Below are 12,487 nucleotides of genomic sequence, written 5' to 3'. Positions count from 1 at the left end.
TTACTTGAACCATTATCTTTGCTGTAAAAAGATATAAGAATGTGTGTTATAACCATCCTCCTCACAAAAGATGGAACAAATACAATTATGTAACTATGTAGGACAATGCATTTTTATTTATCAGCAAGAGATCCCTGCTTACCAAGAGCCTGCTGAGTGGTGGCATTAGTACACTAAAAAAGACAAAGAGATGGCATAGCAGTAGAAGAATCATAGGGAAAAAAAAAATGAAGGTCTGACATTTAGCTTGGGAAGAATTCCTAGGATTTTGTAAACTCTTTCTTCCTTTTCACCTGACTCCAAAACGATCACTATGGAGATTTCCTAATAATTGTTTTTCCTCATTTCAGCCTGTTTCTACCGACTTCGCTCAGTATAACAGCTATGGGGATGTCAGCGGGGGAGTGCGAGGTGAGGCTCCCATGGCCAGGCTGAGCATGGCCACGTCTTCCCTCGAGGCTGAGGTTCATGAGAGTCAAGTATACTGGCTGTGTTCATGCTGTATTGTATCCTTAGAGTAGGATCACATCTGTCTTCTGTGAGCTAATAGGGCAATTATTTACAAAATTTCAAAGAATATCTAATGAAATCAAACTGTAAGAAGTGAGTTTGTGAGAATTTATTCATTGCTCATACTATGTGCTGAGCACTCTATCAGATACCTAGAGGCCAGGCATGGTGGCTCATGCCTGCAATCCCAACACTTTGGGAGGCTGAGGCGGAAGGATTACTTGAAGCCAGGAGTTCTAGACTAGGTTGGGCAACAAAGTGGGCCTGTCTCTACCAACAACAACAAAAACAACAACAACAAATTATAATAATTAGCTGGTGGCACATGCCTGTAGTCCCAGCTACTTGGGAGGCTGAGGCAGGAGAATTGCTTAAGCCCAGGAGTTCAAGGCTGCAGTGAGCTATGTTCATGCCACTGCACTCCAGCCTGGGTGACGGAGCAAGACTGTCTCTTAAAAAAAAAAAAAGTAACTGGAGGTACAACAATAAGTGAGACATGGCCCCTGCCCTCAAAATGCATATGGCAGAAAGAAGGTCTGTGTGATGAACATTGGGATCAGAGATGCAGAGAAGGAAGCAGTAAGTACCTTTAGGTTGTCAGCGAAAGCTTCCAGGGGAAAATGTTTTAACTGTTAACTAACACTGGACCAGGCATTTCTTGGCTTCAGGGAGGCTGATGGGATAACATGTGCAGAGTCTGGGAGCAGAAAAAGAACATGGTTTATAGGGCGAATATGTTGGGAATTTCAATATAATATAGTCTGTGAATGGTTCCTTGCTTTTCCATGGTCTTTCCCTTATGATATTTTCTTTTCCTTTCCTTTTCAGATTACCAGGTATGGAACACTTTGTCTTTCTTGAATTGGCCACACCGATAGAACAGCCATGTTCCAACCCAGACTGCTGGCTCCAAGGCAACAGTTTCTGTTGAGAAGATGCTTGTTGTGGTTGATCTCTCTAGTCATTACTCTATAGCCGTGAAGAGCAGACATGCCTGGTGCCTGGGTCAAGCTGTCCCTGCAGGCCTTGGGGACACTGCATGAACCAGGCCAGGTGTAGGGGGTCTCTCTTGCTTTGGCCTTGGAGAGTCCTCTCTGGGGTGGAAGTGGACCAGCATCAAGGGTCTGCTCATATACAGTTTTTCTTCTTTTAATTATAATCTCTCAGTACTTTAGGCCACCCTTTTCCTGCGCGTTCTCAAATGAAAAGACACTGATGTCTTAGCCAATAGGAGAGAGCAGTTTGCCCTCATGACATTCCTTTCTCACTAGAACCTCAATCTTGTTAAAAAAAGAAAGAAAGAAATGTGATGGAGAATAAGAAAAGAAGAAAAATGCATAGAAAATCATGATTAAAGATAAGAAACTAACAATAATAGACTTGGGCATCTTTTAAATGTACTATATGCTTTCATTCATGGAGCCTAATTCAGGAATTTGTCCATAACCATCAAGCCAAGATCTCTCCCCAACTTGATTGCAAAAGAGCTGTATTCCTGTTCCTATACAGCAAGGATCTCATTTTGAAAAATACATGGTCATTTAGATGACACAAATAAAATAGTGGTTAGGATTGGAGACCCAACAGGGAATTGGGAGCCCAAGAGTACTCCCTTCAGTTTCCTAGACTATTTCATGCCTCACCTGGAACTGGCATTTCTGTTGCAGACACTCCCAGATGGCCACATGCCTGCAATGAGAATGGACCGAGGAGTGTCTATGCCCAACATGTTGGAACCAAAGGCAAGTGCAGCTGTTCTTTTTCCTCTCATATGGGAATGGCGTAACCCTAAACAGATTTGATGTTCTATCTTTTCATCATTCTCAAAGTGTTGTAGGCTGGTGTGTTCAGGTGAGCCATGTCATGAATATGCACCTTGCCATTCTGCTGTTTTGCCCACATCAGGTCAGCAGGTTAAACCCTTACTGGGCATGATGCTGTGTGTTTACAGTGAGGTGCCAGTCCCTCTCTGCCTATGACCAAGGTATTCCCTTGGCCTCTGCCATGTGCATTACAGAGCATATCCGGTGCTGAGTGGAGTGGCTGCAGACTCACCATGTAGGTGAGGCAACCCTGTTTCACCATTGAAAGCCCTGCATTTCAAGAACCTCAGTCCTGGGTACACTGGGGTGACTGGCCACCCTAGCTCCAGAGCACCCTGTACCTTCAGAGTTGTCCAAGGGCTCATGCTCCCTGGTGACCATAACCAGGGCTTATTTCAATATGGCAGTTGCCAGAGCACTGCTTCTGGGCCTGCCTGGCCCCATAGATTCATGAGCTAGTCATGGGACAAGATTGTTAACCCCAGCACAAATGCACCCTGCCCTATAACAGCATCCTATAAAAGGTAACACATTGGCTGGGCACAGTGGCTTACGCCTGTAATCCAAGCACTTTGGAAGGCCAAGGCGGGTAGATGGCTTGAGTTCAGGAATTTAAGACCAGCCTGAGCAACATGGCAAAATCCCATCTCTACTAAAACTTAAAAAAAATTGCTTGGCATGACGACATGTGCCTATAGTCCCAGCTACTCGGGAGGGTAAGATAGGAGGGTCACCTGGGCCTGATAGGTTGAGGCTACAGTGAGCTGTGATCACACCACTGCATCCAGCCTGGGCAACAGAGCAAGCCCTGTCTACAAACAAAAAAAGAAAAACAAAAACAAAAAACACGTGCCTGTAATTTCCATTATCTTCTAATGTTTACCTTCATCCCAATACATAGTAAGTTAGTGTTCTGCCACTCAACAAAGCCCCCCTAAGGCTCAGTGCTACCTGAGACACTGGTGGAAAGTTGAGAATGTCTAAGATTCTGTCCCTGTCCCCTGGAAACTGGAGCTTCCACTGGCCTTGCAGAAGGAAGACCCATCACTCGAATTCTGTCATGACAGTCTCTTGGAAGCTCTATCTTGGGAGTACTAGCGTTTAGGTGGATTCTGCTTGTTAATAAAATGGACTGTGGTGTTCTAGAAGAGGTGTTTTCTTTCTTCTCAGATATTTCCATATGAAATGCTCATGGTGACCAACAGAGGGCGAAACAAAATCCTCAGAGAGGTGGACAGAACCAGGCTGGAGGTAAAACAAAACCGAAAAATCCAGTCCCAACTGCAGATCCCTATGCACTCCCCCAACTCTCCCCTAAGCAATGTTTTATTTCTTCAGTGAAAACAAAAAAAAATTATAAAGATCACCCTCATGTCATAGGTAGAACTAAGAAATAACTTTGGAGAAAAAAAATATCCAGGTTTTCACTTAGATCAGCATAAAAATGCCTGGTAATATCCAGAAGAATGACCCAGGAGGTGGGCATGGTGGCTCACGCCCATAATCCCAACACTTTAGGAGGCCGAGGTAGGCAGATCACTTGAGGTCAGGAGTTCAAGACCAGCCTGGCCAACACGGTGAAACCCTGTCTCTACTAAAAATACAAAAATTCACGGGGCATGGTGGCAGGTGCCTGTAGTCCCAGCTACTTGGGAGGCTGAGGCAGGAGAATCGCTTGAATCCAGGAGGTGGAGGTTGCAATGAGCCAAGATCACACCACTGTACTCCAGCTTGGGCAACAGAGCCTGACTCCGTCTAAAAAAAAAAAAAAAAGAAAGAAAGAAAAAGAAAAAAAGAATGACCCAGGAGACACAGAATGATTTCAGTCATTTTCTTTGAAACTTGATGTTGCCATAATTATGGCTGGTAATTCAGAATGGGAGTCGCTATTTCTCTTGAGATAGTCTCAGATCCTTATCTTCCCCTGAGCTGGGGTTGAGTTCATGGGAGGCTGTGGGAGCGGCAAAGGCTCTCAGGAGAGACATTTATACTGATTTATACTGGACAAGTTTCTTTCTTGGCTGTTTCCACATTCCTTGTTGAAGGGTTATCTGGGTACATGTACCCAAGATCTCCTTAGACATGGAAGACTAATTTTTGTATTATAGTTTTCCATCCCAATGATTTTAATTAAGAAAAACCCTGGCTGCCAGTCTCCGAAAGAATGCTTACTTTTTCCTGACAAAAGGCAGTACCTTGGCGTAGAGGTACAGAGAATAAAGGCTGCAGGATCTTGGGGGAACTTTTCTAGGGGGGAATGACTGATGGGAAGTCTTCTCAGTAGAACAGACATCCACCTTACCCCCTATTCCTCAGCCAGGAGGAAGCCCTGGGGCTCCCCAGGGACCACGCTGGAGGTCATTTTCTTTGGCTTTCTATTGCGATAGTCCATTTTCCCTGCATCTTCTCAACGTTCCAAGGACCTGGGATGGAGTTGTCTCCAATGTAATAAATCACCTCTCTGTGTCCCATCACCAGTCAGTGTTATTATTATAATCCCCATTAATACTCTGCCAGCTCTTTTATCTGATGGGAAGGGCTCCTCACCTGGCCCAACCAGGTAAGGGATACTGATGTCACAAGCATTAAAGATGGGCTCCTCTCCCGTCCTCCTGCCTTGTTCTTCAGAATGACTCTGTATAAACTATAGAGCAACGCTCAAGGCCATTTGTGTGGCCATCAGGACTGACAGCAGCTCTTTTTTTTTTTTCTTCTTCCCAGCGCCACTTAGCCCCTGAAGTGTTTCGGGAAATCTTTGGAATGTCCATACAGGAGTTTGACAGGTTACCTCTTTGGAGACGCAACGACATGAAGAAAAAAGCAAAACTCTTCTAAGTCCCACTCGTGAATGGCAATTAGAGAAAGGACTGACAGTGGCGGTGCCCCATAGGATGTCATATTGAGGCCCAAACTTGATTGGAGAATTTGCAAACTACCGTCGCTCAGCAACACCAAAAAGAGAAAGTCTGGTTAAAACACCATGAGTCAAATGTCGGGCCAGCCAACAGTAACACTTGCCAAGAAGCATGGCGTAGAAATTTCTATGTTCCGAAACACAGAGTAGTGTCCACATGTGAGCTTTTCACATTACCTTATGTATACAACAGGAGCTGCGTTGTTTTCTTCTTTTTCTTTTCCTTTATCTGTTGTCCAACAACAGTGCTGACTGTCCGGATAAGAGCTGGCAAGTGCCCTTAGGATGCCGCATGGGAAAAATCGGTTATCATAATTTCAAAGTATAAATATATTTATTAAGTAGCGCTGCGGCTAAGAAGGAAGAGTGAGGGGTCTGTCCATGGGGTGGCAGTGATTTCACACCCGCCTTTCTTGAATGGCTTCGTGTTACTCAGCCGTGCCCTGGCAGGAATGGAACTCCATCAGGGAACAGGGCAGCTCTGTTTGAATGGGGTGAAAAACAGCAAAATTAATTCTTAGCAAGCTCCTTGTTCTCTACTGTTCACCGGGACCTGGCTGGCAAATGACTTAGCTATTAGTATATTTAAAAACTGTTCAAAAGCAAAAGAGAAGGAACAGGAATGAAAGGAAACCTTCCCTTAACTCTTTCTGCTTCCCATAGCAGGTCTGGTTCCTGCTCCCCGCCTAGGACAGGAGCTGTCTGGAGCTCCACCTTTGCAAAGAAAGGAAAAACACAAATTGCCCCCAGATTGGCCCAGTGGCATGCCATTAGGTGATTTTGCATAGGGGCCATATCATTCATGGCCAAAAAAAACCAAAAAGCAAAAAACAAAAACAAGTCCCATGTCCTACTGACTCTAGTTCTTCCAGTCGTTATCCTCTGCTGTCTCTCTGGCATCCTATGAATCAGATCAAGCCCATGCTGTTGTTGGTTTTTAAGGTTTCTTTCAATAATAGGCTAAGGAAAGACATGTTTTTCTCTTTTAAATCTCTGCAACTCCAAAGTAGACTCCTTCGAACGTATTTAATTTGGCCTTTTCAGCTTTCTTCTTGCCCAGCTCTGTCGAATTCATGGGTGTGTGTGCACATGTTGGTTTCACTCACCCAGAGTAATTTTGTGAGCATGCATGTGCTTTTTAATTTCTGCTTGAATGTTTGTCCTGCTGTGTTGCAGCTTCTAAAGACATTGTCACCGAGTGTGTGTGACTCAAAGATCAAGAGTGAGGCTAAACTGCGACCCCAACATCACTTCCTTCATGGAAAGGTGTTGGCGCTGATGTAGCTCATGGAAGGATCAGACTGGGAACCACAGAGGAAGGATGAGGTGGGATGTGGAGGTCAGAGCATCTCACGAGAGTCCCTCAGGCTCTGCAACACTAGATTCGAATATGAGCCTAGGGTTTCCCCAACACGTGCGTGCATATGAAACCACATCATGATTCCCGACGTGAGTTAGATGAGGGAGAGTTTGTGTAACTCCACACCCAGGAGGGTAAGCCACTTTATTATCATGCTTTGGGGCTGTGCTTAAGAATTTAAGCTCTGTTTTAAAGCCGAAGAAGAAAACATTTGAATTTACCTTCATATGCCACTAAGAACAAAAGCTCTGAAGTTCTTCCTGCTGGCACCAAATATTAGGATTACAAGCTGTCTCTCTGACACCAGTGGTAAAAAAGCAAGTAGAATAGTTTCTGAGTCTGTGTTGCAGCCTCTGACACGTGGCTCACCGCTGTCATTTGGGGGATGGAATGAACAGTCACTGTTCTATAGCATCCTCCTGTGCTCTTACCTAAGGAATCTAAATTGTCCTAGCCTTCCATTGCTATGCACTGAATGAGGACTACTCTCGTGTGTGTGTGTGTGTGTGTGTGTGTGTGTGTGTGTGTGTGTGTGTGTGTTGGATCTACTAACATGTTTAGCAAATGGCTCTGACAGGGTGGCCATGAGCAGATGAGACCAGCTCTTGCTTGGTTGGAAGCCACACTGCAGTTTGCAGTTTAGCCTTTGGTGTCTCAGTGGCTTCTTGCTTATTCCATGCTTTTTCTATCCCATCCTCTCTCTGTGCCCTCCTGCAATGGCAGCCTTGGCACAATGCCTGGGTGTCCTCATCCTTGCTTTACTCTGGAAAGTGTGGGGATGGAGAGGATGGTGCATTTCCAGTGCTTCCTTACCTGTCAATAACAATGGTGGCCACCTGGGTCCCAGCACTTGGCTGGTGGAGAGATTTTTTTCATTATGGAGCTAATAAAGGGTCCCTACGTTTTACATTGATTAATGAATTATCACCCAGACATGTGCAGATGAAATGTCAATATAAGAAAAATCAAGGTATTTGGGAAACATGGGCATAATCAGGTAGTTTTGCTAAAATTCCTCTTCCTTGGTCTACATAAAGAAGACATGGGTCTGTCATAGAATGGGGACATTAGACTGAAAACTGGGACAACCCCCTTCCTTATTTTATAGAGACTAGGAGTTAAGGGGCCTGCCTAAGATTGCAGTGATAAAGAACTGAACCCTAAATCAGCTCCCACTAATGAAACCCTGCTTTCCTTGTATCTTTTAAACTCAGTTCTGCATCCAACTTGAGAAGAAAAAAAGCTTCTTTCCATATCAAGTACCATATGAGTTCATTTAAACTGCACCTTGCAGAAATGCATTGCCAGAAAGCACCAGTAGCCTCCTATCTGCAAGCAGAGTAGTGCTCTGCTCTGGGGAGGGGTCATTGGAAACCATAATGCAGAGTGGGCCCCCTACTCCATTTCCCAGCAAAAGGCTCCAGCTGGAGGGATGGGTTGTGGGGCAACCTGGTTCCTGCTAACTGCCAGATTGAATGTGTGGGCTAGAATGCCTGCACATTTAGTTAAACTGGGCTCAGCATGCTTGTCCTCAAAATGTCCATCCTGGTCACAGCACACAAGATGGCTATTGGTCTGCTTTTACCCTACCCTGTACTATACATGAAAATTCCAGTTATTAACACACTCAAACTGGTGGAGCTTGTTCACCCTAGGAAGGGGATTGTATATATGGCAGGCTTCCCTGGTGCCGATGTAAAGGGCTACATTTGGGAACATTTGACTTCCTTGGGACTCTTAAGTGCATAATGATGGCATGAAGTAAAAGGGGCCTCAATGATGATAGGAAAATCAGTTCTTTTAAAATTTCTTCAAGAAAATCCAGGCTATCACATAGTCTTTCTGTGTGACTTATTAGGAGATAGGAAGAGCATTGGGAAACTTGCACAGCTAGCTATGCATCTACATTTTGGTTTGGGGTTAGTTATGAAATGTTCTTAATATGACGTGTTCAATAACTTCACATAAACTTCCTGTTCTCCAAAACCTCAAAGAGATAGAGTTAATGAGTTGTTGTTTTTTTTTAAATGGGGGTAGTTTTCTATCTGTCATGGGCTCTAGCATCTACTCCGCTACCCAATTCTGTCATCTCCAAGCTGAGTTTCCTCTTCTGAGGCAGAGGCTGGAGCAGTTCTTTTTCAGTTCTCATCCTCTCCATCCCAATCCAGTATATCAATCAACTCTAACTCGGAGACGTCTAGCTGGCAATGTTTCTAAAACTTTCACTGGATTTCTTTAGACATTGAAGCAAACATTTTTTTCTAAGAATTGCTTCTCAGATGATGATATCAAATGTATATGCTTTTGCAAGTTTGAAAAGTTCAAATTAACCACTTTTGACTAGGTAAGTCTTTCTAAAAACCATTTAAAGCTAACTGGGTCTTAGCATCCTCCTGTGTATGGAAGAGACAGGTGACCGCTCCAGGTTGGGTGCTCACAGAACCCTTTTCCTGACTCTCATGGAAGATGGTGGAAGGAAAATAGACTGTCTCATCAACCCTCCTGTGTCCTCTGAAGCAATCTCAGTTTTTATTAACCACCTCTTCTGTGTTTCTGGTAGCTATTTAACCTGTATTTAATCTGTACTTCCTATGCCAGCCTCAATTTTATTTGATTTTTACAATTATTCTCTTCTAACCAATGAAGTGTTTGTCAGTATGCCCCAAAGCTTGCTCTTTTGTGCTCCCTTTTGAATAACTTTCTATCCAGAAAAAGAGATTATTTGGGACTTGAGATTTGCAGTGATACCAACTTATAGCAATGATGTACTTTAAGGGAACTACCCAACTATGTTGTGATAGAAGAAAGAGAAACCTTCACTTTGGCATTTTTTTTTAATCACTGTTTATTTTTCTGTTTGCGGCCCAGGAAGCAGTGGGAGGTGGTGGCAGATATGCTTTGCATATGGATTGTTATGTTTTTATTTGGGCAAGTTTAATCATGGAAAACTCAAAAAGAAGGGGGGAAATGGTCAGTTTAAGCCAAAAGAAACTTTCTAAACAATGTATAGGTACACAGCAAAATTAAACAAATCCAACAATTTCTGAAGCTTAGTGTAATTGAGTGGTGGTTGTTATTCAATAAAATTATTCCCAAAAGTGTTTCTCCTAAGAGTGCAGTTCCCATGAGTCACTTCCTGAACCCATTGACCAAAGGTGGACAGAGACAATCCTGTAGACCTTGACATTCAGAAAGATGTGAGCTGCTTACTGATCATATATGCATACGTTTCTTTACAGCAGAGGAAACCATTGTCCACAAAACTGATGTTCTTTTGGGGTTTTATGTACAGACTTGTCCAATCATGTGTGTGGTTCCTGCGAGTTGCTGATGACTCCGCATTGAAGCTCTCTGAGTTCTTTGATTTTAAGTTGGGTTTATGGAATTTTTTCAAATGTTGGAAGGTGTGTGGTTCTTCCTGCCCTCCCTCCCCTTTTGGAAATATGAAAGCAAATGTTTAGAAGAATTCCTTTTGAAAAGCTGTGTCGTGTTCCCTGTGAAACTGAGCAGGTGTGTGTTGGCGCGCTAAGTGCCACATGCTTGTGTGTAGAGGAGGAGGTGGCCCTGCCGGCTCCGCGCTGCTGTGCCTGTGATCCCTACCTGCTCCCCGCTCCTGTTGCCAGCAGCACTCACTGCACTCCTTTGTCATATACTCTGCATCACTGTCATACTCACAACTTCGTGAATAAAGTTGTGTGCTTTATTCGTAGATGCCTCCATACCTGTGTTTCATTTCTCGTTCCCTGGCTCCCTTTGAAGGTCTATCTCATTTTAAAAAGCACCAACGCAACTTCCAATAATCAAAACAAAATCAGAATGAACCCAAGGCTGTGGGAATACATTTTTATCATGCAGGTGGAAAAATGCAGCAAATAACAGCAGGATATTCCAGGACTGTGTGTCCAATAACCCAGACCATATTGACCAAGCTGTCCAAAGGAAAGAAATGTTTAGTAGAGCCATTACACTGTGCTGTGTCATAGGTGTTTGATTTGGTTTGTGACACAGCAGGGATAGTCCCATCATTTCGACAAAGCTGGGGATTTGAGGAGGTTTGAAGCTTCTGAGCCACTATGAGTGTGGGCCACTTTTTAGTAAGAAGCTAGAATGCAGTAGGAGAAAAGCATCCTTCCAATTTTGGGCATCCCCTGCATGATCAAACTTTACATGAAGAAATTGTAGATGTTAACTTCCTTGTTATCATCACTGCCAAGATTTTAGGCTTGCCAGAAAGTACAAGGATCTATGTCCAAGATGGCCCACTCCAACGATAGCCTTCCTTCTGCTCTGTGTCTGCTGAGACTACCCAAGACCCAGTCACACTGGCATTCACATGACCCTCCCCTGGAAGCGGGATGCAGGTTGTTTTCAAGACAGTTGGCATCTTTAGTTCACCACCATGGAAAACAGGCCGGGAGACCTCAGCTCAAGGTCTGTGTTCTGCTCATCTCTGCCTCCACCCGTGGGAAAGCATCCCTGCTGTGGTCCATAATTACCATAGCTAGGGGTCATCTCCAGTCCTTATGAACTCTCTGTGGGATTTGGCTCTGGTGGCCACCTCTCCAATGGAAGTTGACCCGTGCCTCACTTCAGTTGCTAGACTTTAGTCAGCGAATCTCACACTGCCTTTGCTGGGAGTGGAAGGATCTCGCCTCACCCACTGCTCAGCTGCCTCTCCCCCAGTACCCTGCCTTCAGATCTTGCCAAACCACTGCAAGTTCCCAGGACATACCATGCTTGCTCCCTCCCAGGCAGCTTTATCAAAGGTATTTCTTCTTTACGATGCTCAACTCTTCAAGGAGGTGGTGGAGCAGAGAGGACCTGGCCCCAGGGAAAGGAAGTAATGATCAATGTTGACTCTTTAAAAACAGCTACCCATCAGCTCTTTGGAGTTACCCATGTGAATTTCCCATGGGCTCCATTTGTTCCAAATTAAAGACAAGTCCAAGTTCACACCCTCTCTATGAGCCTGTCTTAATGGGCCCAGCCCAATCTGCATGTAATTCTTTGCATGCCTCTAGTTGAACCTCAAGGTCGGTACTTAGCAAGTGTTGCCTCGAACTGCTAGCTGCGTGGGTTTCTGCTCTTCAGTTGAACTGTAGTGAGATCTCTGTGCTGAGCGCCAGGCACCCTAGCTTGGCATAACTATATTGCTCGTGAGAGCCTTTCAAAGTAGACAATTGTAGCTCCACTATACAGGTAGGAAACCAAAGCTCAGAGTCTAATCAAACATGCCCAATCACTCAGCCAGTGAGCAGCAGAGCTAGAATTCTCCAGGTCTGCCCTTTTCAGATCCCATGCTGTTATCCTCCACATCCCATTCCCTGTGACTTTCTTAGGGCAAGGACTGTGTCCCACATTCTGAATCTCCCAGGGCACACTGCACAGAATGGGTTCTTAGTGTGAGACCGGCCAGCGCCCTTCAGTGTGGCCATGAGCCCCAACACTACCACCAAGGCGCATTTATGAACAGTTTGGGGGTTACTCACTGTCTGTGTGTCTTGGAGCCCGTTTAGCCTCTCTTCAGCCTCAATTTGTTCATCTGCAGAATGGACAAGATAATAATATCCATCAAAAGACTGTTGCCAAATTATAGCACGTGAGCACTTAGGTGGTTGAATAAGGACTAGTATTATTTTAAATAATCATTTGAGAATGAATTAGTTTTCACTCTGGGCTTTTTACCCCTCCCTCTAGTCATTTTGTTTGTGTTCACAGGGCCTTCCTCATGGATTCTCCTTCTAGTCTTTATATAAATACTCCAGGATTAAAATAATCCCACGACCTCTTTTACATACTTCAACAACAGCACTCTCTCCACCCAAGCATAGTCTAAGATAGAGATCCCCTGAAGATGTGCTAATTAGTAGTAATAATAAC

At 44.3% G+C, this 12,487-nt stretch overlaps 1 protein-coding gene across 53 annotated transcripts in view; it reads left to right on the top strand.

Annotated features, from left to right (window-relative positions):
- Positions 1-10,318, top strand: part of ABLIM1 (actin binding LIM protein 1) — a 370,264-nt gene extending 359,946 nt beyond the window's left edge. For 30 of the 53 annotated variants that reach the window (XM_047425242.1, XM_047425238.1, XM_047425237.1 and 27 more), the window contains 5 exon segments: positions 351-411; positions 1,339-1,346; positions 2,178-2,252; positions 3,504-3,584; positions 5,055-10,318. In XM_047425242.1, coding sequence (XP_047281198.1) covers positions 351-411; positions 1,339-1,346; positions 2,178-2,252; positions 3,504-3,584; positions 5,055-5,168 — 339 coding nt within the window. In that variant the 3' untranslated portion in view covers positions 5,169-10,318. 53 annotated transcript variants of the gene reach the window in all.

Source organism: Homo sapiens, chromosome 10 (genome assembly GCF_000001405.40).
Source record: "Homo sapiens chromosome 10, GRCh38.p14 Primary Assembly".
NCBI lineage: Eukaryota > Metazoa > Chordata > Mammalia > Primates > Hominidae > Homo > Homo sapiens.
This window is presented reverse-complemented; position numbering and strand designations above follow the sequence as displayed.